This window comes from Homo sapiens, chromosome 2 (genome assembly GCF_000001405.40).
Source record: "Homo sapiens chromosome 2, GRCh38.p14 Primary Assembly".
Taxonomy (NCBI): domain Eukaryota; kingdom Metazoa; phylum Chordata; class Mammalia; order Primates; family Hominidae; genus Homo; species Homo sapiens.
The window spans coordinates 236,209,345-236,232,812 of NC_000002.12; the positions used below are offsets into that span (position 1 = coordinate 236,209,345).

The 23,468-nt window shown below is 45.2% G+C and overlaps 1 protein-coding gene, 2 long non-coding RNA genes and 1 pseudogene across 3 annotated transcripts in view; 2 read left to right on the forward strand and 2 right to left on the reverse strand.

Moving 5' to 3' along the window:
• Nucleotides 1-4,881, forward strand: part of GBX2-AS1 (GBX2 and ASB18 antisense RNA 1) — a 46,784-nt gene extending 41,903 nt beyond the window's left edge. The window contains exon 2 of the long non-coding RNA NR_186035.1: nt 4,319-4,881. This is a non-coding gene — a long non-coding RNA (GBX2 and ASB18 antisense RNA 1). The remainder of the gene's footprint in view (nt 1-4,318) is intronic.
• The window catches only part of ASB18 (ankyrin repeat and SOCS box containing 18), a 70,948-nt gene that overhangs the window by 15,886 nt on the left and 31,594 nt on the right, over nt 1-23,468 (reverse strand). The window contains exon 4 of the mRNA NM_212556.4: nt 5,018-5,522. Coding sequence (NP_997721.2) covers nt 5,018-5,522 — 505 coding nt within the window. The remainder of the gene's footprint in view (nt 1-5,017; nt 5,523-23,468) is intronic.
• On the reverse strand, nt 1,029-1,204 carry RNU1-31P (RNA, U1 small nuclear 31, pseudogene; annotated as a pseudogene).
• LOC124908000 (uncharacterized) lies at nt 7,294-12,292 on the forward strand. Its single transcript, XR_007088137.1, has 2 exons — nt 7,294-7,559; nt 11,563-12,292. It is a non-coding gene; the product is annotated as an uncharacterized LOC124908000 (long non-coding RNA).

A 23,468-nucleotide genomic window follows, 5' to 3' on the forward strand; every position in this document is an offset into this window, starting at 1 on the left:
TCACTGCAGCTTCCACCCCCTGGGTTTAGGTAATCCTCCTGTCTCAGCCTCCTGAGTAACTGGGACTACAGTTGCATGCCACCATGCCCAGGTAATTTAATTTTTTGTGGAGATGGTGTCTCACTATGTTGTCTAGGCCAGTCTCAAACTGCTGGGCTCAAGTCATCCTTGTGCCTCCCAGAGTGCTAGGATTATAGGCGTGAGCTATTGCCTCTGGCCTAGAATCTGTTATTCTTGCACCAACCTCCATCCCCCATGCAAGCTATGTGAATCCCTTACCTGGACTGCCACCACAGCCTGTGGTTTCCATCAGCCCCCTACCTGGTGTGTTCTCTACGTCGAGCTTAGAAATTCCAAAATACTGATTGGATGATGTCATCTCCTTCCTTGAAAATGATGTAATCAACTCCCAATATTCCAAAGTCAGAGGCCCAGGCCCTTAAGGCCCTGCCTGGCTGCCTAGTCTCAACTGGTGCCCCCTAGCTGTTTCCTCTCCAACGACTAGCTCATTTTTCCAACTGCACACATTGCCGTGCCTGTCCTGCTCCAGGACATTTGCCCAGGACGTCTGTCTAGAATGTTTGTCCCCCGCTTCACAAAGATAAGCCTTCAGCCTTCAGATCTCGGCTCACTCATCACACACTTGAGGGAGCCTTGGACCCTGCCCCCCAGCCAGGTGAAACCCCTGTTCTGTGCTTTCAAGGTGAAGTGAGCCTCGGCTTTGCAGCACTTCTCACCATGGCAACTTCACCTTAGTGTGTGTACTTGTCTGATCCACGTGACAGGCAGCTCCACCAGGGTGGGAAATACACATGCTCCTGCTCCTCACTGTGACTCCAGTACCAAGCACCCAAGTTCCCCCAAAATGTTTGTTGAATGAATACATAAGTACTAAAGGGATGCCCGTGGGAAGCATAGCCGATGCCTACATGACTTGGGGGAAATCCTTCATTACTGGTGTTGTCCCTGCACTTCCCCGACTGGTGGACAAGTATGAGTCTGAAGTATTATTAGTATTTCATTTTTACACAGGGTAAAGTAGAAATGCAGTCCCTCTCAACCATAAATTATGCAGTTTCTGCATCTATGAGTTTCTCATATCTGGGAAAACCGTGCGGGTCATCAGACCCGGAATGCAATCCATAAGTCTCACCCTGAGAAAACCACCTTTGTGATCATGGCATCTCCTCTGCCAGGTGAGAGTCTGAACTCTTTACAGTCACCTGCAGGTGCGTTTTCCCGGGCTGCTGCTGGCCTCTGCACCACAGGAAACAGAAGGCCTTTGGGAAATAGCACAAAATAGGAGACAGGGTAGGAGGGGCTGGAATGTGCTGGCCACGCATGCTGACTGCAAATGAAAAGTGTTCATGGACGGGTGTCAGGTGACATCCAGGGACAAATAAAGCTGGCCATGTAAACTGAGCGGTGAATCAAGGAGGTTCCCAAAGGAACACCTGTGAAGGAGGCAGTGGAGGGCAGGGGTTTGAGCCCTGGCTGCGTGCTGCTACTGTCAGCTCTGTGTCCCATCTTGGAGCGGGGCTGGACTTACATCTTCCCACACGCTTTGATGCTCCATCATTTTCTGGGGTCAAACCAGAAATGTGCTCCTCAAAGAGGAGAGAAGAGCAAAGTAGTGCTTCCTTGGAAAAAGATCACATGGGACTTCATGACTGTTTCACAGATTCGTATTCCAGGTAAGGAGAGGCTGAAGGAGAGAGACCCCTGAGCACAGCCTTTTATCCAGACCAAGCATCCAGCCCAAAAAGTCACCTGTGGCAGATGCCAAACAAGTTCAGGTCCACGTCTGTGTGTGCTTCTCTGCCTTCCTACCTGCTGTCCAACAGGCCCAGCCCCAGCCTGCCCTGACATCTTCCAGAATCCAAACCTGCCAGAATCCACAGCCTGCCCCCTATGCCTGCCCTCGGTGCCCTGTCCCTGCCCCCAGTGTTAACTAGCGGTCAGCCAGGCAGAAAGGCCTGGCACTGTCAACACGTGGGCTTCCGAAGCCGTGACACTACTTTGATTCTCACTGCAGAGCACTGCGCCGGCTCGGAAGGATGCCCTGTGTCCGCCTGCCGCGACGATGGTGCCTTTGTCTGGGCATGGGGAGCTGTGATTTATGTCATAAGCTCGCTGTGAAACCTTTTGCCTCGGTAATTCTGCGCTCCATGGGTGTCTCTTTACATCTATTCACAGTACGGCTGCTGCCCACGGACGGCTTGCCCTGTGACAGTGCTGGTGACTCTACGCTCGGCTCGCCATGGCGCCCGTGTGGTGCCTGCCCAGCATCTTTGTGGCTGGCTGCAGCGTCTGTTGCTTTGATGTCGCACATGATTAGATGCCGTCCCTGGAGGAGCGATTGCAGGGAGACTGGGTGGAGGAAGAGGCTGCCTCTAGCTTTCCACAGAGTTTTGCTTCGGTTGTGGGGACCAAGCTAGAACATTACAGGCACTGCTGCCTTTGCTTGTGGGATTCTCAGCATGGTGAATGCATCCTCATCCACCATCCTCTCCTGGCCAGGTGTAGGGGTACCCACTGGAGGTGTGGGGGAATCCCAGTGCAAAAAGGTGGAATCCTTATTTCCAAAGATTTAATGCAGGCCATGAGCCTGCAGTGGCTGGAATCCCTTTCATTCATTCAACAAACACTGATGGAAGGTCTGTGCTTGCAGGCGCCATGTTCAGGGAGGCAGCGGTGGGCAACGCTTTTTGCAAAAGCCTCAAGGTATTAAGATTTCTCAAGAAAACTCCAATTCCTTCCAGGATGGGTGGGAACTGACAAGATTCCTTGTCAAGCACTTCCCATGGCTTTTTGGCCCCCAGGTACAACAAATCTAAACCTACCCCCAACCTGAATGGAGGATGAGTTGCACCACTGACTGACCCCATTTCTGTGTGGCTGACATAGTACTGGGGATCCCATCCCAGAACAGGGCCCCTGAGCACCTAGAGAGGAGGTGCTGTGCTTTGTCCTGCATCTCTAGTCAAGGCAGTGTAATTTCTACAGCCTTGGAAACAGAGTCCAGGGGTCAGAGGTCCTGTTCCTAGAAATGATGCCTGTGGGGCTGCCCCTAGGATTTGAAAGCCTGGTCAGAGATCACTCAAATTGAAACAATTTCAAGGCTAACAAAGGATTATTTCTAGTCGCTACTGAAATATATTGACTCCTTTTTTTTTCTTTAAAATAAATTGCCCCATTCTTCCCTGAATAAGTAAGTCAGAAAAAAATAATTGGCCCAGATATTTTCCCCTTTTGGCCCATCCTGTAACTTTGTTTTCTCTTTTCATTCCTTTTTTTGGAGACAGGGTCTTGCTCTATCACCCAGGCTGGAGTGTAGTGTTGCTATCACAGCTCACTGCAGCCTCCACATCCTGGGTTTAGGTAATCCTCCTGCCTCAGCCTCCTGAGTAGCTGGGACTACAGGTGCATGCCACCAGGCCCTGCTAATTTTTTTAAAAAAATTTTTGTAGAGATAGGATCTTGCTATGTTGCCCAGGCTGGTCTTAAACTCCTGGACTCAAGTGATCCTCCTGCCTCAGCCTCCCAAAGTGCTGGGATTACAGGTGTGAGTCACCATGCCTGGCCTCTTTTCATTCTTTATGCAGTTGCATATGACAAGGGCTGAAGTGTGTGTTGGTTTAATGCAGACACAGTGTGCATGGGAAGGGCAGTGAGTCTTGTTTCCATGTTATAAGTTGATGAACTAAGCCTGCTAATGATGGGAAACATTAAAATGTAAATTATAAATATAAAAGGTAGCTGTCACAGAACATAAAAATGCTAGCATTTCTTCCCTTTCAGGAGTCCACTATATTGAAATCATTGCCTTAGTGGAGCACCACAAGACAATTACCCAAAGAGGGGGTGAGACAGCATCGGGAAAGTGCCATCCTGTTTGTCAAGTGAGCAAACACTAGGGGAGTTGTCTCGGGGGATTTTCTAACCTTTCAGAGGCACAGTCTACTCTGAACGCATCTATAATGGAAAGTTAGCATTTGAGAGAAATGAGTGAATCTCACTTCTCGATGGTTCAGACCACTGAGAACACTGTACTTTTGAATATTAGCTTTTCAGCTATTTGTTCAAAACTAATCAGGCCAAAATATGTCTTATGTCTATGAGTGATGAGTCTTGGTTGATGGAGATAATTTTTAAATTAAACACACCCGGATTTTACATCTAATGGAATGACTTCCCTTCAATGAAGTCTTTTCGGGAGGACAACCTGTTACTCCAGCCAATATTTTGGAAACATTTTCAGTCTTTTGGGTTATTTTCTGAGGTGAGAAATCTTTATTCTTTATCATTATTATTTCAGGGTAGATCTGACGGGTGGAACAAGGATGAGTTGTTCAGAGTCAAGTCTGCAAGGGTGAGCCAGCAGAATGGGGGTGAGGTCCCAACACTGCAATGACCTGGGCAGGGCACTTCACCTGACCGAACCCCAGGTAGAGGGAGAATATCACCTGCCTCTCGTGTTTCACTGCAATGTGGTGAGGACCGAATGAGAGAAGTCTGCAAATGTACGAAGCACTCTCATTAACAAGGTGGATGATCAGATTGGGTAATTTTGTTTCAGATCAAATGCCAGATGTGGCAAAAGACTGATTTTCATCGTTCTGAAAATGACACTGATGATGAGCTGCCAAAATATTTTGAGCTCTGACTGCATCATCGAAATAAGTGCCTGGCGTCCGTCCCCAGGTGACTACTTTGAAAGGATGCATTCTTCACATGCAACCCCTTAATTGTCTCGTGGCTCTAACCAGAAGGCTTCTAGGCCCCTGTTCCTCAAAATGGGGTCCCAGGAACAGCAGTCTAGGCCACACCCGGGAGCTTGTTGGCAATGCAGGCTCTCCCACCCCAGACCGGCAGAGCAGATTCTGCATTTTCACAAGTCCCCAGGGGTGCCTGGGCCATTACACTTTGAGAGCGCCGCATGCAACCCAGCTCCCAGGCCGGTCACTAAGTGGCAAAACTCCAGGGCACGTGCCAGCCGGGCTGGATCCTGCCTTACCTTGGGGAAGGCGTCGGGCCACACGGTGGGAGAGCCGTGGTTGAGCAGCGCCTGCACCGTGCGCTGCGGTGAGGCCTGGAGAGCGCAGGATGCGGTCTGGAGCACGCGGCCCAGCGGCGAGGCCCCGCCATAGTCGAGCGCGCCCGCGTCGGCGCCGTGCCGCAGTAGGAGGCGCGCCAGGCTGTGGCTCGCGTGGCCGCAGGCTTTGTGCAGCGGGCTGCGCTCGTCCTCGTCGCGCGCGTCCGCCTCCGCCCCGCGCCGCAGCAGCAGCGCGCACAGGCGCAGGCAGCGCCCGTGCTCGTCGGGCCTCCGCGCCGCACCGCAGGCCGCGCTCAGAGCCGTCTCTCCGCGGCCGTTCCTCGCGTCCACGTGCGCCCCGCGGCCCAGGTACAGGCGCGCGTGCTCGTCCAGGCCGCGCTGCGCCGCCACGTGCAGCGGCGTGTCCCGGCCCGTGCCGCCCACGCGCTGCACCGAGGCCCCGTGCTCCAGCAGCGCCTGCGCGCACCTGTGGGAAGCCAGGGCCTGTCACTCGGGCGCCACGCAGGACGCCCGCACCCTTCCACCCCCGGCCTGCTGCTGCAAAATATCAAGTGACCTCTGAATGAAAAGACATGCTCCGCTCTCCCATACCAAGGCGTCAGGAGTTCAAACTAAACTGGAAAAAAAAAAAAAAAAAAAGAGATTATGGCAAAACCAGCTCCTGAGTGGTGTAAATAGCAAAGGATATGCCATAAGAATCCACGTGCAGAGTTACAATTTATAAGGAAATTTTAACTGCTTGGAGCTTCCTGGGAAGGTGATGTGGTTCAAATGACGGTGCTCCATGCACTGGTTACCTGAGCTCTTTGTCACACCTGGAGGTTAAGGGTTTGGCAGTCACAGTTCTAAGGAGAGGCCCTTGGGGGTCAGACTCTTTCCCGGCCCCCATCTAGCCCTTCTGGAAACCGCTCAGCTTTGTGAGGGTGTGAGGCAAGCCTTGCCTTGCACCACGAAGGGACTTTCCCCATCCCTCAGGACACTGACTCAGGCTGGCACCACCCTGTCCTCTGACAGTCCGGGGAGCATTAGGTGGGAAGCACAACCAGGCCCTGTTGTGAGCCTACCTGTGCTGCTTGAACAGACTGGATATTGGCTGCACCTGAATTCCCCAGTGGTCTCCAGGAGCTTCTAGACCCCCATGGGAGCCTGCGGTCTTCCCCAGAGACGAGTGTCTTCCTTCTGCTGCCTCCAGGAGCATGACTGTCCTCTACCCCAGGCACCAGGCTTCCTCAGAGCCTCTCCCATCCCCTGGGGGCACTCTAAACAGCTCAGCCTAGGCTCAGATGCCTGGTGAGAAGTGTGCCCCAGCCTGGAAGCCGGAAGACAGTCATACAGACCCTCTGCCCTCCGCTGGTCCTTGTCCTTCATGGACACGGAAAAACACAAGCCCACCCCCAACTTCAGCCACCTGCTCCCATAGTCACCTGCCATCGATAAGGCCGCTCCAGCCTTGGAAGTCTGCAAACATGCCGACTTCAGACTACAGCCCTAGTCCTCTAGCTCCCCAATGCCTGTTGGTCCTACTTGCCATCTTTGCTCTATGGAGACCTGAGCCCTGGACCTCTCGTTTCTCTCTACCCTTCCTGGCTTCAGTTCCTTTCCTGGGCAGCACTGTGGTCACCTCGTCATCTGCATCCTCAGTTCCCTTGAATGGAGGGGACCATGGCCATCCCCTACTCAAATGGCCGAATCTTCAAGCCGGAGTCCATTCTTCACCCCCCTCCTTTTCTCTGCGGGTCTGCCGAGCCCTGTTGGAGGACGCAGCCTTCATGGAGCTGGCCTTGGTCTCAGCTGGGCCTCAGTTAACTGATATCTTTCAGTGTTAAGGCCACCTCCTCATGCCTTGCTCTCCACTAACCACTCCTAATGTTGACCTTGGTCCTCAAGCTTCCGCCCTCTTCCTTTTCAGCTGTCTACATCAGCTTCATTCAGGGTGCAGCTCCCAGGAACTCCCTCACCTGCCTGCCTTCTGCAAACACATCTGTTTCAACACTGATTAGAATCTGTTTTGACAACAGCTGTTGCCTCCCTCTTCCCCAGGCCTAAGGAAGGCACTCCCTCTTGATCATCTTGGCCCAGAGTTAGTCGTCTTTGGCTTATTTGGGGTCTTGCTCTAGATGACTTGCTTCTTGCCATTTTCCTGTCTTTCTATTTCCCTGCCCCATTTCAACTGGTCACTGAGCCATCTCATCACCTGAACTGCTTCCTCCCTCCACTCCCAGTGTCACTGTCCTTTGTTGAGGCCACATCGTTTCTCGGAATGCTTATAAGTCTCTTCATTTGCCCCTTGCTGCAATCTAGCAAACTGCATACTATCTGGAAAGAGCCTTTCCAGTGCCAATCAAATGTGCCTGCCAACAACCCCACCACTCCCCCTGCCTGCTGGGCGAAGCCCACACTGCTCTCTTCAGGACCCAGGACACATCATGATCCAGCTCCTGGGGGCTCACCGGGTTCACCTCCTGAGGCGCCGCCTCTCCATGCTTCAATTCTGCCTGACCAGGTATGGTGCTGAGAGCACACTCTGCCGTGCCATGCCCCCATGCCCTCTGCTTGCTCCTTCCAGGTTGCCCCGCTGCACGTGATGGCCCACACAGTCCCATCTTTCCTTCCTCTTGGAAGCCTTCCTGTGCCACCAGGTAGAGGGGTCACACCTCTGTGTTGTCACATGTCTTGCACTATGTGCCCAGGCACATTGGTCACCCCATATTTCAAATATTTGTTGGGCCAGGCGCGGTGGCTCATGCCGGTAATCCCAGCACTTTGGGAGTCTGAGGTGAGTGGATCACCTGAGGTCAGGAGTTTGAGAACAGCCTGGCCAACATGGTGAAAACCCATCTCTACTAAAAATATAAAATTAGCCGGGCATAGTGGTGGATGCATGTAATCCCAGCCACTCGGGAGGCTGAGGCAGGAGAATCACTTAAACCCGGGAGGTGGAGGTTGCAGTGAGCCAAGATCGTGCCCCTGAACTCCATCCAGCCTGGGGGCAACAGAGCGAGACTCTGTCTCAAAAAAAAAAAAAAATAAATCTTGGCACCTTCAACTCCTTGGGTGTAGAAATGGAGGCTTTGTTTATCTCTGATTCCCAGTGCCTATCATAGTGCCTATCACACTATTGGTATTCCCTAAAAACATATTGAACAAACACATTCCATTAATTAACATCTTTCAGCTTTTCTTTATATTGCCGCTGCTTTTCCTACTATATTAACCTAACTGGGGCTCTGAACAAGATCATCCATTGAGGGTTTCCCGGCTGCCCTTAAATCCATTTATATTTTTACCTAGAGGCTCTCAGTATTTTAAATTCTCCCTTTGGATTGTCTCGTTTCTACATCAGCAGTGTCTTGAGAAGTGGTCTGTCTTGAGTGAAAGATCTTTACAAACAAGTACAGTTTGATGTGGAGTCCTTTGGGACCAGGACTGGCTAAGGGAGGATGCAAATTTTACAGTCAGAGCGCTTCACTTTGCTTCCTATTTGCTTCTCTGGGAGGAATTTTGAACAGTGCAGCAGGACGTTAGAAATCAAGGGTTCCTTCTCGTTTTGCCACTGAGCCTGTGTGCACTTGCAAACAATTACAAAACATTTTCTTCTTTTTAAAGAAAAAATTTTTTTAAGCAGCTCAGCCTCTCTAAAGAAGTCCACAGGGAAATATGACCAGTCCCCTTTTCCACGTGCACAGCCTATAGCTGGGTAATGGCCAGGCTTTTCCACGTGCACAGCCTAGCTGGCTAATGGCCAGGCTGCTATCTGCAACACAGATACCTTTCAGAGGAATGAGGACACTGGCCCACCCTCTGGAGGGCTGCAGATGCTCTTTTCATTTTTAATGAAGAGCTTCTAGTTGGCTAAACCTTGGCACTTTTTTAGAGTGGGCAATGATTTAAGTAGCAGAACCACGGGCATGGGAAAGAAACAACAAATTGACTGGGGCACGTCTGCTGGTACACGGTGGCAGTCATTAAAAATGAAGGTGTGAGAGCCTATTTAATGGCATGGAAATACATTTGCAGTGGATGTGAACAGATCAGGTTACAAAATAGCACCACTGTACAGTCCCATTTTGAAAAAGCTTAAATATATCTATGCGTATATGAAGAATACCAGAAATTGGCCGGATGTGGTGGTTCACGCCTGTAATTCCAGCACTTTGGGAGGCCAAGGCCGGCGGATTGCGAGGTCAGGAGATAGAGACCATCCTGGCTAACATGGTGAAACCCCGTCTCTACTAAAAATACAAAAAATTAGCTAGGTGTGGTGGTGGGTGCATGTAGTCTCAGCTACTGGGGAGGCTGAGGCAGGAGAATGGCGTGAACCTGGGAGGCGGAGCTTGCAGTGAGCCAAGATCACACCACTGCACTCTAGCCTGAGTGACAGAATGAGACTCCATCTCAAAAAAAAAAAAAAAAAAAGAAAAAGAAACCAGAAATTTTTCATTTTATTTTTTAATTGATTTTAATTTTAATTTTAATTAATTTTTTTAGAGACAGGGTCTTGCTCTATCATCTAGCCTGGAGTGCAGTGGCGTGATCATGGCTCACTGCAGCCCTGAACTTCTGGGCTCCAGCAATCCTCCTGCCTCAGTCTCCCAAGTAGCTGGGACTATAGCCGAGTGCCCCCATGCTTGGCTAATTTTTTTTTGTTTTATTTTTGTATTGACAGGGTCTTGCTATGTTTCCCAGGCTGCTCTCAAACTCCTGGGCTTAAGTGATCCTCCTACCTTGGCCTCTCAAAGTGTTGAGATTACAGGCATGAGCCACCGTGCCCTGCCAAAAAACCTAGAAATTTAGAGGGCAATGTGTGTTTATCTCTGGATGATGGGCATAGTGGGAGCTTGTTTCCTTTTTGCCTGCATGCGTTTTTCAAGTTATCCAAAATAAGTCAAGGTGCAGTTTGATACAAGAACCACAACAGAGGTTATTAATAACAAAACCATCCCCACCTGCTCCAGCAACAGCTCCTGGATCCTAAGAATATCCCTTTGGCTTTCCAGGTTCCCAGAATACGCTTGAAATTTCCATCAATCTGTTTAGGTATAAGCAGCATTTTGGAACGTATGTATGGCAATGCCCATGAGAAGGTGAGGAGAGGAGAGGCCTGGGCTGGCTGGGAGCTACTCAGTGATAACAATCGTGGGGACCTCTCAGACCTGACCCCAGGACCCAGGCCCATCCTTGAAACACTATCATTTCAATCCCTCCTATCAACGTCACCAGTGGAAGAAATGGCCCAGTGGGGAAAGCTTACTGTTTGTCATTTCATTGCCTTCTCTGTATCAATGCCACCAGTGGAAGAAGAAATAGCTCAGTAGGGAAAGCATCCCTGAAGCCTTTGCAGGTCTATGTCTGGGACCCAGCCTTGGCTGAGCCTTTTACTCCAAGGCAAGATTTTGTGAGTGGGTTTCCTGCTGTCCTGATAGAAAGGCAAAAGTCAGAAAGGCCTGGGGTCAGGGTAGAACAGTCACCGTTGGGATCTAAGGGTAGAATTCCCATCTGAGGATGTCAGAACAACTTTGTCTTTATCTTGCAAGGATTAAGGAGACACCATGTTGTCTCAACAGCTTCTGATATGAAGCAACTTGGACAAACACATTAATCTCTGGGTGCCTCATCTCTGTTTTCGATAATGACTGCAATGACAGGTTGTTACAGGGGCCCAGGGTTAACAGCAGAAAGAAAAAGTAACTTGAGCCAAAAGGCAGGAGTTAATAGAGATGAACCCATCAAGGACTGTTGAATCAATGTCATTCCAATTCATGTCTATGGGGTGGGGGGATGTGGGACTTTGGCCACTCCCTGCACACCCTCCCATCCACCCTCCAGCACCTTCCCAAAGCACTGGCTTTTCCTAGTCCCTTCCCAGGGCACAAGGCCTGGAGGCCTCAGCCTGGGCTCTCCCACTGTTTCCTCCTTCCTTTACCCACCTGTCTCACCCACCTGCTCCCACCTGTCTCAGCTGCCTGCCAAGCCTCCATGCTCCCTGCATGCTCTGCCCAGATACCTCTTCTCTCAGCCAGAGCCTGTCCAGGCTTCCACTCTCTCGTCTCCCCTGCCTCCTGATCACCCTCTTTATTCAAAGCCCTGGAAATGCTGCTTCTCTGCCTCCTGGTTCTGAACTGAAAGGTCTTTTGGATTCCCCAGTACTTGGCCTTTTTTTTTTTTTTTAAACAACTATTTATCTTTAGTCCCTGAAACAACTTTGCATTGTAGGTGGAATTTACAGTTGGGGAAATTGAGGCTTAAAAGGCCAGTGACATGCATAAGGCAGGAAGTGGCAAAGCAGAGGTCTCGTTGCTTCATGAGGCTTCCCACTGTCAGTCACACACCCCTCCACTGCCCCTTCCCACTGGTTTTATTTGTTAAGCACCTTCTCTGAGGCAGGTTCTGTTCTAGGCGTTTTCCACAAGTTATGAGTGACCTTTTCATTCATTCAATAAGCAGAGAACATGTGCCATGCTCCTTTCGAGGTAAGGAGAAGTGTTTCTCCTCTTATCACTCCACAGGAATTCCTGGACAGACTCACCGACAGGACACTGAAGGCAGGGCAAGGCGACCCATGGACCTCATTCTACGGGGTGGCACAGTAACCGGTTCTCACCCAGTCCTCCTAGCTACCTGGCACGGTAGATGGCATCCTCCCTCCTTTTTGGTGAGGAGTTCATCTTTGAGGTTTAAGCAGTGGTCTAAAGGGCAGGGCCCGGCAGAGGATGGTGGCCTTGCAGTCAGTGTGTCCTGTTTGGGATATGAACTCCAGCCCCCACTATCCAGTGGTGAATACAAGGACTCCACAACCACCAAAAGATGATGCTGACTGAGCAATGCAACAACAACAACAACAACAACAAACAGCTGCTAAAAATAAGGCTGCATTCAAGACTCAAACGTCACCTTTTGTGTGTGAGTGGGGAAAGGGACATTGCTTCTGAACATTTTGTTAGTAATGTTAAACATCTCATATGGTTTGGTTGTGTCCCCACCCAAATCTCACCTTGAGTTTTACTCCCATAATTCCCATGTGTTGTGGGAGGGACCCGGTGGGAGATAATTGAATCATGGGGGTGGTTTCCTTCATACTGTTCTCTTGGTAGTGAATAAGTCTCATGAGATCTGATGGTTTGATAAGGGGAAACCCCTTTTGCTTGGTTCTCATTCTCTCTCTTGCTGCTGCCTTTCACCTTCCACCTCCCCAGCCACATGGAACAGTAAGTCCAATAAACCTCTTTCTTTTGTAAATTGCCCAGTCTCAGGTATGTCTTTATCAGAAGCGTGAAAACGGACTAATACAGCATCTGTCTCCTTAAGTCACCGGAGTCCTTGGGCAATCCTGAGCTCCCTCTCCTGTTCTCCTTATGTGACTGCTCCTGGAATCCCTTCTGACAGACAGAAGGGGTTGAGCACTACACAGTGTGTTCAGTGGGGGTAATGGGTGTTATGAGCTCGTCTTGTTGAATTACTGTTACTGCTGCTTTTCCTCCTCAGAGATGACACGGAGGCAGATGGGCTAGAGACATGTCCCAGGGGAAGGGTGGCTGCAGCTGAAGGCTGGGTCCCAGGGTGGGTGCTGGGCATGTGCCAGCCTATGGGGGCAAGGTTGCAGGGGAGCCTTGGGAGGAAAACAGAGCCGTGTTTTCTAACGAAGCTGCTGCAGGAAGGTTTCCTCCTGTGGCTCTATGCCCCAGCTGACTCCGATGAAGGACGGGGAAGCCACAGCTCCACGACTTTGATGGAGGAGCGGTTCCACTTTATTTCCCTGGACCTTCTGCTGAGGCTTTCCTTTGGGGATCTTCCATCTACCCCTTTCTGTTCTGCATTTTCTTTTCTCTCCCTCTCTCCCGGGATGCTAAGCTATGAGACTATCAGACATAAATGTTTACAATTGAAATGGCTGATGTGAATAGACAAATCCTTCAGGGTAGGAGGGCGACTGAGAAGAGAAACTGGTTGGCCATTTCTATCATCACGGTTTCCCTTGGAGCAATGGCTGCCAGCCATCTTATGTTTTTCTGAAGTGTGGGATGATTGCAGTGGATGATGATATTTTGGGCAAATTCTCTCCCCATTGTAAATGGAAACTTGGCAAACTGAAAAATGATTTAGTGAACAAGATTTGTACAGTCAGCTCCACTGTGTGCCCCATGATATAGTTTGGATATTTATCACTGCTGAAATCTCATATTGAAATGTAATCCCCAATGCTGGGGGCAGGATGGGGCCTGGTGGGAGGTGGTTGGTTCATGGGGGTAGGTCTCTCACGAATGGTTTAGTACCATCCCCTTGGTGCTTTCCTCACGATAGCGAGTTCATGGGTGATCTGGCTGTTTAAAAGCATGTGGCAGCCAGGTGTGGTGGCTCACGCCTGTAATCCCAACACTTTGGGAGGCCGAGGTATGTGGATCACCTGAGTTCAGGAGTTTGAGACCAGCCTGGCCAACATGGTGAAACCCTATCTCTACTAAAAATACAAAAATTAGATGGGTGTGGTGGCGCACACCTGTAGTCCCAGCTACTTGGGAAGCTGAAGCAGGAGACTCACTTGAGCCCTGGAGGTGGAGGTTGCAGTGAGCTGAGATGGTGCCACAGCACTCCAGCCTGGGTGACAGAGCGAGACTCCGTCTCCAAAAAAAGGTGTGTGACACCCCCCATCCCTGTTCCTGCTTTCACTGTGTGGTGTGCCTGCTTGCTGTTTGCCTTCTGCCATGAGTAAAAAGCTTCCTGAGGCCTCCCCAGAAGCAGATCCCAGCATTATGCTTCCTGTACAGCCTGCAGAACTGTGAGCCAATTAAGCTTTTTTTCTTATAACTTTCACAGTGTCAAGTATTTCTTTATAGCAGTGCAAGAATGGCCTAATACACTTCACATGCCCACTAAGCAGCATTTGACTTTCTAGAAGCTTCATTGGTGTGCCTTCCTCAGTAAGGCATGCATAACATTTCTTTCTCTTTCTCTCATCCCCTGGTCCCAATATACTAGGTGAAGAGGAAGACCCAGTAGCATCAGAGTGAGTGGAAAGAAAAGGAGGAAATGGAAAAGAAAAGACTCTATTAGCTTCTTAGACAGGGATAGGGGTGAGGTGGGGGGAGCTTTAAACTGGATGAGAGAAACATTGTATGCATGTAGGTATGTATGTATATTTTAATACAATAACTTCTGTGAGGTACACACGCAGAAATGCACAGGTCTTAAGAGCACAATTGAATGAATTTCAACAAAGGAATATACCTATGTAACCAATACCTCAATGAAGACATAGAATATTTCCATTTTGCCAGGAATTTCTCCTGTGTTTACCACCAGTCAGTCATAACCCCCGTAGGCAACCACTGTGCTGATTTTTCTCACAGTGGGTTAGTTTTGCATTTTCTAAAATTTTCCACTTTTTTGTATCTGGCTTCTTTTGCTCAGCATCATGCTGTTCACATTCATCCATACTGTTGCCTGCATGGAGTAATTCATTCTTTTTTTAAATTGCTGAGTCATATTCAATTGTATGGATATACCACAATTTTAAGCCATTTTCCCATTGATATTGATGGACATTTGCATGTTTCTATTTTTTGACTATTATAAATAAAGCTTCTATGAACGTTTTTGTATAAGTCTTCCTGGGGACATATGTTCCCATTTTTCTTAGGTAAACACCTAAAAATGGAATTACTGGTAGGTATGTATTTAACTTTGTAAGAAACTGCCAGTTTTCCAAAGAGATATCATTTTACCCACCCAAAACTATGTATGAAAGTTCTAGTTGCTCCCTGATCTTGTCAACATTTGGTGTTGTCAGGTTTTTTTTTTTTTTTTTTTTTTTTTTTTTAGCCATTCTAATGCATGTGAAATGGTGAATATTTATTTGTGGTCTCATTTGCATGTCCTTGATGATTAATGATGTTGAACACCTTTTCATTTGCTTATTGGCCATTTGTATGTTGTTCATAAAGTGTCTGATCGAGGCTTTTGCCCTGAGTGTAAAGTTTTGATTTGGCCTGGACTGGCTTTTGGATATTAAAATGGGACTTGCCAAGTGACCAGAAAGCTGAAGAATGTACCTGGGATGCCATTGAGGGGCAGGGAAGGGGACACACTTGTAACACAGCATGTTTGGAGGGAGGTGGCCAGAGATAAGTGGAGCTACTTCCTGATTACAGACAGTTTTTGGGAAAAAAACTTCAGTTAACAAAGGAGATGCAATCTTTTAGCATTGTTCTCACAACCTTTGGCTTTGGGTCCTGGCTCTACTGGTTTCCGTTCTGTGCAACCTTACTGGCATAACACGGACTCTCTCTGAGCCTTGGTTTTCTAATCTGTGTACCATGCCTTGCAGGCCTGAGAGGCTCAGAGGAAATAAGACATTTGCACATGCTCAGGAATGTGTGACATTCTGCAAATATTAAATCATCTATTGGGTGCCGCCTCTCTCTGACATCTCATTCTTCTCTGAGATCTCATTCTTCTCTGAGATCTCATTCTTCAGTATTCCTCAAGATGCCTTAAAGTCCTATCAAACAAGACCATGTTCTTCTCTCTACTTGAATAACCAATCAGTCACTCACCTGGGATGTGGAAAGAATGTATTGTTTTCTGGATTATGTATCAATGCCTGTGAGCCTGGCATCTCAGGCAGGTGAACTTCCTGTTCTTAGGTGGAGACTGCTGGGTCCCCCCACCCATAAGATAATTAGCTGCTTTTATAGATCCAACTCCAGCTCATGAATCATTTTTAATTTATTTTTTGTTTTTTTAAGACAGAGTCTCACTCTGTCACTCAGGTTGCAGTGCAGTGACATGATCATGACTCACTGTAGCCTCGACTTCCTGGGCTCAAGTGATCCTCCAGACTCAGCCTCCCAAGTAGCTGAGACTACAGTTGTGTGCCACCATGCCTTGCTAATTTTTGCAGAGATGGGGTCTCACTATGTTGCCCAGGCTGGTCTCAAACTCCTGGGCTCAAGCGATCCTCTAGCCTTGGCCTCCTAAAATGATGGGATTACAGGCAGGAGCCACTGTGCCCACATGATTTATTTTTCATTCAGTTGAATTAACACACCTGGGACAAAAAAGTAAACTTGCATGCTTTTCATTAATAAATTCCGTGAGGAAAGCAAGTCATTCTCACTTTTGTTTAAATCGAGACAGCTATAGACAAGAAAAAGAATAGGGCGTCAACACATTCTTTTCTTATTTTAATTATCTCGAATAAAAAGGGTCAAGGAGAGGAATCTGATAACAAATAGGGCGAGGCTGGCATGCAGGCTGCTAATGTGAACACAGTTACTTTACTGTAACTTTTCTTTTTGGGAAAATCTCTTCAAAAGGCTCCTAGATTAAAGCTCTGATATCCCTTTCAGTGTGTTGAATTCTGAATTCTGAAGCTTGCTGGTTGGAAGGAAGCACAGGTAATTTTTTTTTTTTAATCCCAGGAACTCAGAGACTCAAAGGTTTTAAAGTCCTGTGCCCATGGCGAATTGCCAACTAAAAGGGGATGGAGCAGAACGGGGTCCCTAGGTGTGGAGACCATTGTCATCAAGAGTCAGAAAATGGAATGGCTCTGTATGTAGGTCAGCGACCCCCTCTCTACTGTGAGGTAAAAAAATTAAGGATGACCTAAAATCTACTGTGTTTAAAAAGATTGCAGAGAAAGTAGCTCTTTCTTGTCAAAGTGATAATGTTTATACTACCTGAAGCCAGACCTCCTCAGAGTATGACTTTAGGGGGACTCTTTAGAGCTGAAAAGCCATGGTCAAAACCTCAGGCCCTTTCGACATCTATTAACTTTTTATCCTTCAAGGTAGTTGGCTGTGTTATTGTAGAGGTGTTCAATGGGACCTGCCAGCATATTCCATTATCATCATTGATATTGAAGGGATTCTAAGTCAGCTGTTACAGAGTTCTGCCTGAAATGCTGGTTGATTCATCACTTATCTTAAACTTTCCCCCAATAATCTGGATTTAAATAAGTCAAGAGTGTCAAATTAAACAGCCAAAGGGAAAGACTCCCATAGAGCGACACAGAGAAGAGAAAATGAAACAAGAAAGAAGAAAGAGGAGGAAGAAGAGGAAGACAGAAGAAGAGAGATTTTTTAAATCCCCACTTTAATAAAAAGACATTTAAAAAGTCCTTATTAAACAATGGCCTGGGCCTGTATGATTTTTGTAAAACCAACGGAAGCCAGGATATTAGATTCTATTGTTCAGTGTGTAAGCTGAGTAGCTCTGGTGGTCTGCATATGGCCTCAGCTCCTTATGGTGTCCAAATGTAAGCTTGTTGGCGTCTCTTCAGCAGTGTTGCAATGATTCACAGCATTTTGTGTTTATTTTGTGCTATGATTGGGTGCTGCATTCTGATTTCTTAGTAAGAAGCAATATTTTTCTGATCCTTTAAAGTGGGAGAGGAGTTGGGGCCCAAGGTATGAAGCAGACTTGATTTTTAAAAACCTTTTTATTTTTAAATTATTTTAGATTTTCAGAGGAGTTGCAAAGATAGCATAGAGAGTTTCTGAATACGCTTCACCCAGCTTCCCCTAAAGTTAATATCTAATATTATTATGGTATATTTGTCAAAACTAAGAAATTAACAATGGTACAAGACTATTAACCAAACTGTTGACTTTATTTGGATTTTACCATGTTTCCCACAAATGTTCATGTTCAGTTTTAGGATCTAATACAGGATACCATGTTGCATTTAAAGAACTTAATTTTGAACAAGAGAATAATAAATATAGCCATGCATTTTGGCAAGGCGGGGAGGGAGGAATGGTGAATACCCTGACTTGGAATATCATCAAATGGGTTATATTTTCCATAGGAACATGTTATAATGGGGAGTTATGTTCTTGACTAGAGACATTATAGCAAATAAATCATAAATGACCAATAACTATGGAGATAAAGGAAAGAAACATCAAGCCCCCAAATGAATTTGAAATAGTAAAATATAGTTTCAATTCCTATAAAAGAAATACAGTGATTAGACATGAGGCCCCAACAATTGCAGTCAGCACCTGCTCCTTACTATATGCTAGGTGCTCTTCTAAGCAAATTAGCTATAGTAATTCATTTAATTCTCATAACCATCCTATGTAGTAGGCTCAATTATCAACCCTATTTTACAAGTGAGAACACAGAGACATAGAAAAATAACTTGTCCAATGTTGCACAGCTAGTAAGTGTTGGAATTAGAATTCAACCTGGGCCTCAAATGTGGTAAAATATCTATGTGTAGATATAAAATTGTATAGTATGAAAATGTGATCAAACTTGAATGCAATCAATACACAATTGAATAATTTTGCCTCTTTTCTTAGTATGTAGAAAGACTTTTGCAATTGATTTGGTTGGCTTATGTCCTTTAATGAAGCTGATGCTTCTTTCTGTCTTAGAAACTTTCTGGTAGAAATCCACTGGCATCCCATTCTTAACCTCCATGCATACAATATATCTGACATATTCTGGTCCAATGTTTGACACATTGCCATAGCATTACCTTCCTCTTCCCTGAAACTGCAAGCATTTTGAGGGCAGGGACTATGTCTAATGCAGCCCAGCCTCAGCCCCTTACAGGGTTCAATAACTGGTGATTGAATGCTTGCAGGAATGGAGTCAATATTGGTTGACCTTGGAGCTGTGTGTTTCAAAATAAATGGAATTTCTATAATTTTTTCACAAGATGATACCTTTTTACATCCCAGCAAATCATCTATCAGATGAGTCAAGAACAAAAATTGGAAGTGAATGCAAGGTAGAAATTAATCCATGTCTAAAGAATAGTTGGAAAGAAAGCCTCCTGGTGGAAAGTGGAGAATGCTTGTAGCCAAGGATGGAAATGTGTCACAAGGTTGGAACTTACTCCCCAATATGATTGGCAGTATTGGATTTCTCAACCTCCCAAAGGGCCTCTGGGCTCTCAGGCTGAGGGTTCTATGAAGGGGACCCCAGCAGAGCCTGGTGAGCTGAGTGGAGGAGACGGCACTGGAAGTCTAGGGATGCCAGGACAGCTGGAGTTTGTAGGGTAGGGTGCTGGAGAGGAGAAAGCTTCACACAGAAAGAACTTTGCAGAGGGCCCCCTTGATTATTCAGCTCAATACCAATTAGTGTGTGGGCATGAGGAAACTACCTAAGCTGTGGAAAGAGCCACCTGAAAGGAAGGATTAGAACCGACTGAAATATGTCAAATATTTTGTGTGCATAGAGGTTGAGAGTGTGGGCTGGTGGATTTCTACCAGAAAGTTTCTAGGACAGAAACGGTGCAGTGCTCATCACATGCACAGGTTCAGGAATAGTGGCTGGTTTCAGCAACCAAAGTGTGAAACCTTATAAATAATTAGGTATGGAGAGAGTACCAAAAAGAGTTGTCTCAGTAGCAGAAAAAAAAATTAACCTTAGACTAACCACCGATTGACTTCTGATTAATAAAGCTTAAAGGCAAGACCCAAAAGGATCAAACTATTTCCAAGTAACTTTACATTCCAGAGCAGAGATCAAGAATATTGACAGGAATACAAAAATATCAAACACCCAATGAAATGTAGAGAAAAAACCAAAAAATCAAAAGTGACCCAGAGGCTGGGAGCAGTGGCTTATGCCTGTAATCCCAGCACTTTGGGAGGCTGAGGCAGGAGAATCATTTGAAACTAGGAGTTTGAGACCATCCTGGGCAGCAAAACAAGACCCCAACTCTACAATAAATAAATAAATGACACAGAAATGACATAGGTGATAGAATTAGTAGGCAGGGCCATTAAAACACTTGTTATAACTATATTCCACCTGTTTGAGAAGCTAGAGGAAAGACTGACCATGTTAAGTAAAATACAGAAATATAAGTCCTAAGATTGGAATTCTGAAATTGAAACTACAATGTTGGAGATAAAAATATAGTGGATAAGGTTCATGGCAGATCAGGTATTTCAGAAGAGAAGATCAATCAATCAATCAGAGAGAGAGGCTGAGCAAAATGAACAGAGCATCAGTGAACTGTGGAACAATCTTAAGTGGCATAGTATATGTATAATTGGAGTCCCTGAAGGAGAGTACTGGTTGTATAGAAAAAAAATGTGAAGAAATAATTGCCAAAATATTTCCAAATTGGATGAAAAGCATATAAACCCACAGATCCAAGATACTCAATGAATCCCAAGCATAAGAAACATAAAGAAAACTTGCCTGGCATGGTGGCTCACACCTCTAATCCCAGCACTTTGAGAGGCCAAGGTGGGCAGATCACCTGAGGTCAGGGGTTCAAGACTAACCTGGCCAACATGGTGAAATCCTGGCTCTACTAAACATACAAAAATTAGCTGGTGTGGTGGCATGCACCTGTAATCCCAGCTATCTGGGAGGCTGAGGCAGGAGAATCATGTGAATCCGGGAAGCAGAGGTTGCAGTGAGCTGAGATCATGCCACTGCACTCCAGCCTGGGCAACAGAGTGAGACACCATTTAATAATAATAATAAAAAGAAACATAAAACTACATCAAAGCACCTCATAACCAAATTGCTTAAAACCAGTGATTAGAGAAAATCTTAAAGCCAGATAAAAGGATATTTATTAGCTATAAAAGAACAAAGATAAAACTAGGAGTTTGAGACCACCCTGGGCAGCAAAACAAGACCTCAACTCTACAATAAATAAATAAGTGACACAGAAATGACACAGGTGATAGAATTAGTAGGCAGGGCCATTAAAACAGTTGTTATAACTATATTCCACCTGTTTGAGAAGATAAAAAGGGGATAGTAGATTTCTCATTTTAAAAAATTTAAGTTAGAAGACAGTAGAGTTATGGGTCTAAAGTGCAGAAAAAATAAGAAGAAAATAAAAAACCAAACTGTCAGCTCATAATGCTCTACCCAGCAAAAATACCTTTCAAATACTCAGGTGAAATAAAGACTTTTTCAAACATACAAATACTGAAAGGACCCATTACCATTAGACATACAGTGCAAGAAATGTTAAAGAAAGCACTTCAAGCAGAAGGAAAATGATACTAGATGGAATCTTGGAGCTACACAAATAAATGAAGGGAAGTGGAAATGGTAACTATATGAGTAAACATAAACACTTGTTTCTTATTACTTCAATATATTTAAAAGAAAATCCTCTGTTTAAACAAAAATAATAGCAATGTATTGCAGGACTTTTGTATAGAAGTAAAATGTATATTACCAATAATAGCACAAAGGCCAGGAGGAGAGAAATGGAAGTATACTGCCATACAGTTTTTATACTACACATGAAGTAGAATAGTATTACCTGAGGGTAGAGTGTGATAAAATAAAGATGTATACTATAAACCAGAAAGAAATCACTTAACACAACAAAAAGTTATATCTAGTAAGCCAAAAAAGGAGATAAAATGAAATCATTAAAAATGTTCAGAATAAAAGGTAGAAAAGAAGATAAAGAGAACAAATAATAGATGAACCAAATAGAAAAGAAATAGACATTTGTTTTGAACCTAACCATATCAAAATTACATTAAATGTGAATGATCTACACCCAGTTAAAAAACAGAGACTGTCAGATTGGATTAAAAAAAGCAAGACTCAATTATAATCTGCCTACAAGAAGCCCACTTAAAAAATAAAGACTCAGGTAAGTTAAAAAATGAAAGGATGGTATGGTAGGCAGTATCTAGCATGGTCCCCCACTGAAGTCTATCTTCTGGTGTCCATGCTCTTCTCTCCTCTCCTTGAGCGTGGGCAGAACCTTTGATTTGCCGCTAACCAATGGACTATTGCAAAGGTGACAGGAGGTTGTTTTGGTGAATAAATTACAGAAGATTGTAAATTCCATCTTGCAAGCAGATTGTCTCTATTGTCTTCTCAGCTTGCATACTTTGATGAAACAAGTTTCATGTTAGAGAGGTCCACATGACAAGTGCTATGGTTTAAATGTTTGTGTCCCTCCAAAATTCATGTTGAAACTTAATTCCCAATGTAATAGTATTAAGAGGTGGGTCATTAGGAAGTGATTAGGCCCTCATAGATGGGATTAGTGCCCTTATAAAAGGGCTTGAGGGATTAAATTTGCCTCTTCCATTTTTTCTGCTCCTCTGCCATGTGACAATGCAGCAACACAATGCCATCTTGGAAGCAACACAATGCCATCTTGGAAGCAGAGAACATGCCCTCACCAGACAATGAATCTGCTGGCAACTTGATCTTGGACTTCCCAGCCTCCAGGACTGTGAGAAATACATTTTTATTATCATCACCCCTGGCTAAGCGTTCTCGCTATGTTGCTCAGGCTGGTCTCAAACTCCTGGCCTCAAGCAATCCTCCAACCTTGGCCTCCCAAAGTGCTGGGATTACTGGTGTGATCCACTGCACCTGGCCTAGACCAAAGAATATTACTAAAGATAAATAATTTCATAATGATAAAAAGGTCAGTTCTTCAAAAGGACAGAATAATGCTAAGCATTTATGTACCTAATAATAGAGCTTCAAATTACTTGAAACAAAAACTGACAGAACTGCAAAGAGAAACAGACAAATCCACAATTATACTTAGAGAGTTTGACACTCTTCTTTCAATAACTTGTAAAACAAGTCCAATGAAAATCAGCAAGGATATAGAAATATTAAACAACATGGTTAGGCAATTTGATTTAATTTACATTTATAGAATACTACATTGAACTACTGCAGAATATACATTCTTTTCTAGTATACATGAAACATTTATCAAGGTATAGCATATCTTGGATCATAAAACAATTCTCAGTAAATTTAAAAAGGACTAAAGTCATACAAAGTAAATTTTCTAGCCATAATGGAATTAAATTAGAAATCATAAGATATCTGGAAAATCCCCACATATTTGGAAACTCAATAACATACTTCTATATAACCCATGACTCAAAAAAAAAAAAAGAAAATTAGAAAGTATTTAAAACTGATCGAAAGTAAAAACACATATTAAAATTTGTGGGATTCAGCTAAAATAGTATGTAGTGAGATATGTATAGCACTAAAAGCCTATATTAAAAAACATGAAAGTTCCTGACTCAGTGACATTAGCTTCCACCTTAAGAAACTAGAAAAGAAGAGCCAATGAAACTCAATGTGAGCAAAGAAAGAATAATAGAGAGTATAGTGGAAATCAATGAAATAGAAAAACAATAGAGAAAAACAATGAAACCAAAAGCAAGACTTATTGGGGGGAAAAGAAGACAAATTCTAGTATCATGAATGAGAGAGGTGATATCACTATAGAATCTACAGCTCTTAAAAGGACAATAAGGAACAACTTTATGGCAATAAGTTAAACAACTTAGCTGAAAGAGGTCAGTCTCTTAGAAAATACAAACTATTAAAGCATTAAAGCTCACTCAAAAAAAAAGAAATAATCTGAGTAGCCCTATAGCTAGTAAAGAAATTAAATTCATAGTTAAAAACCTTATTACAAAAA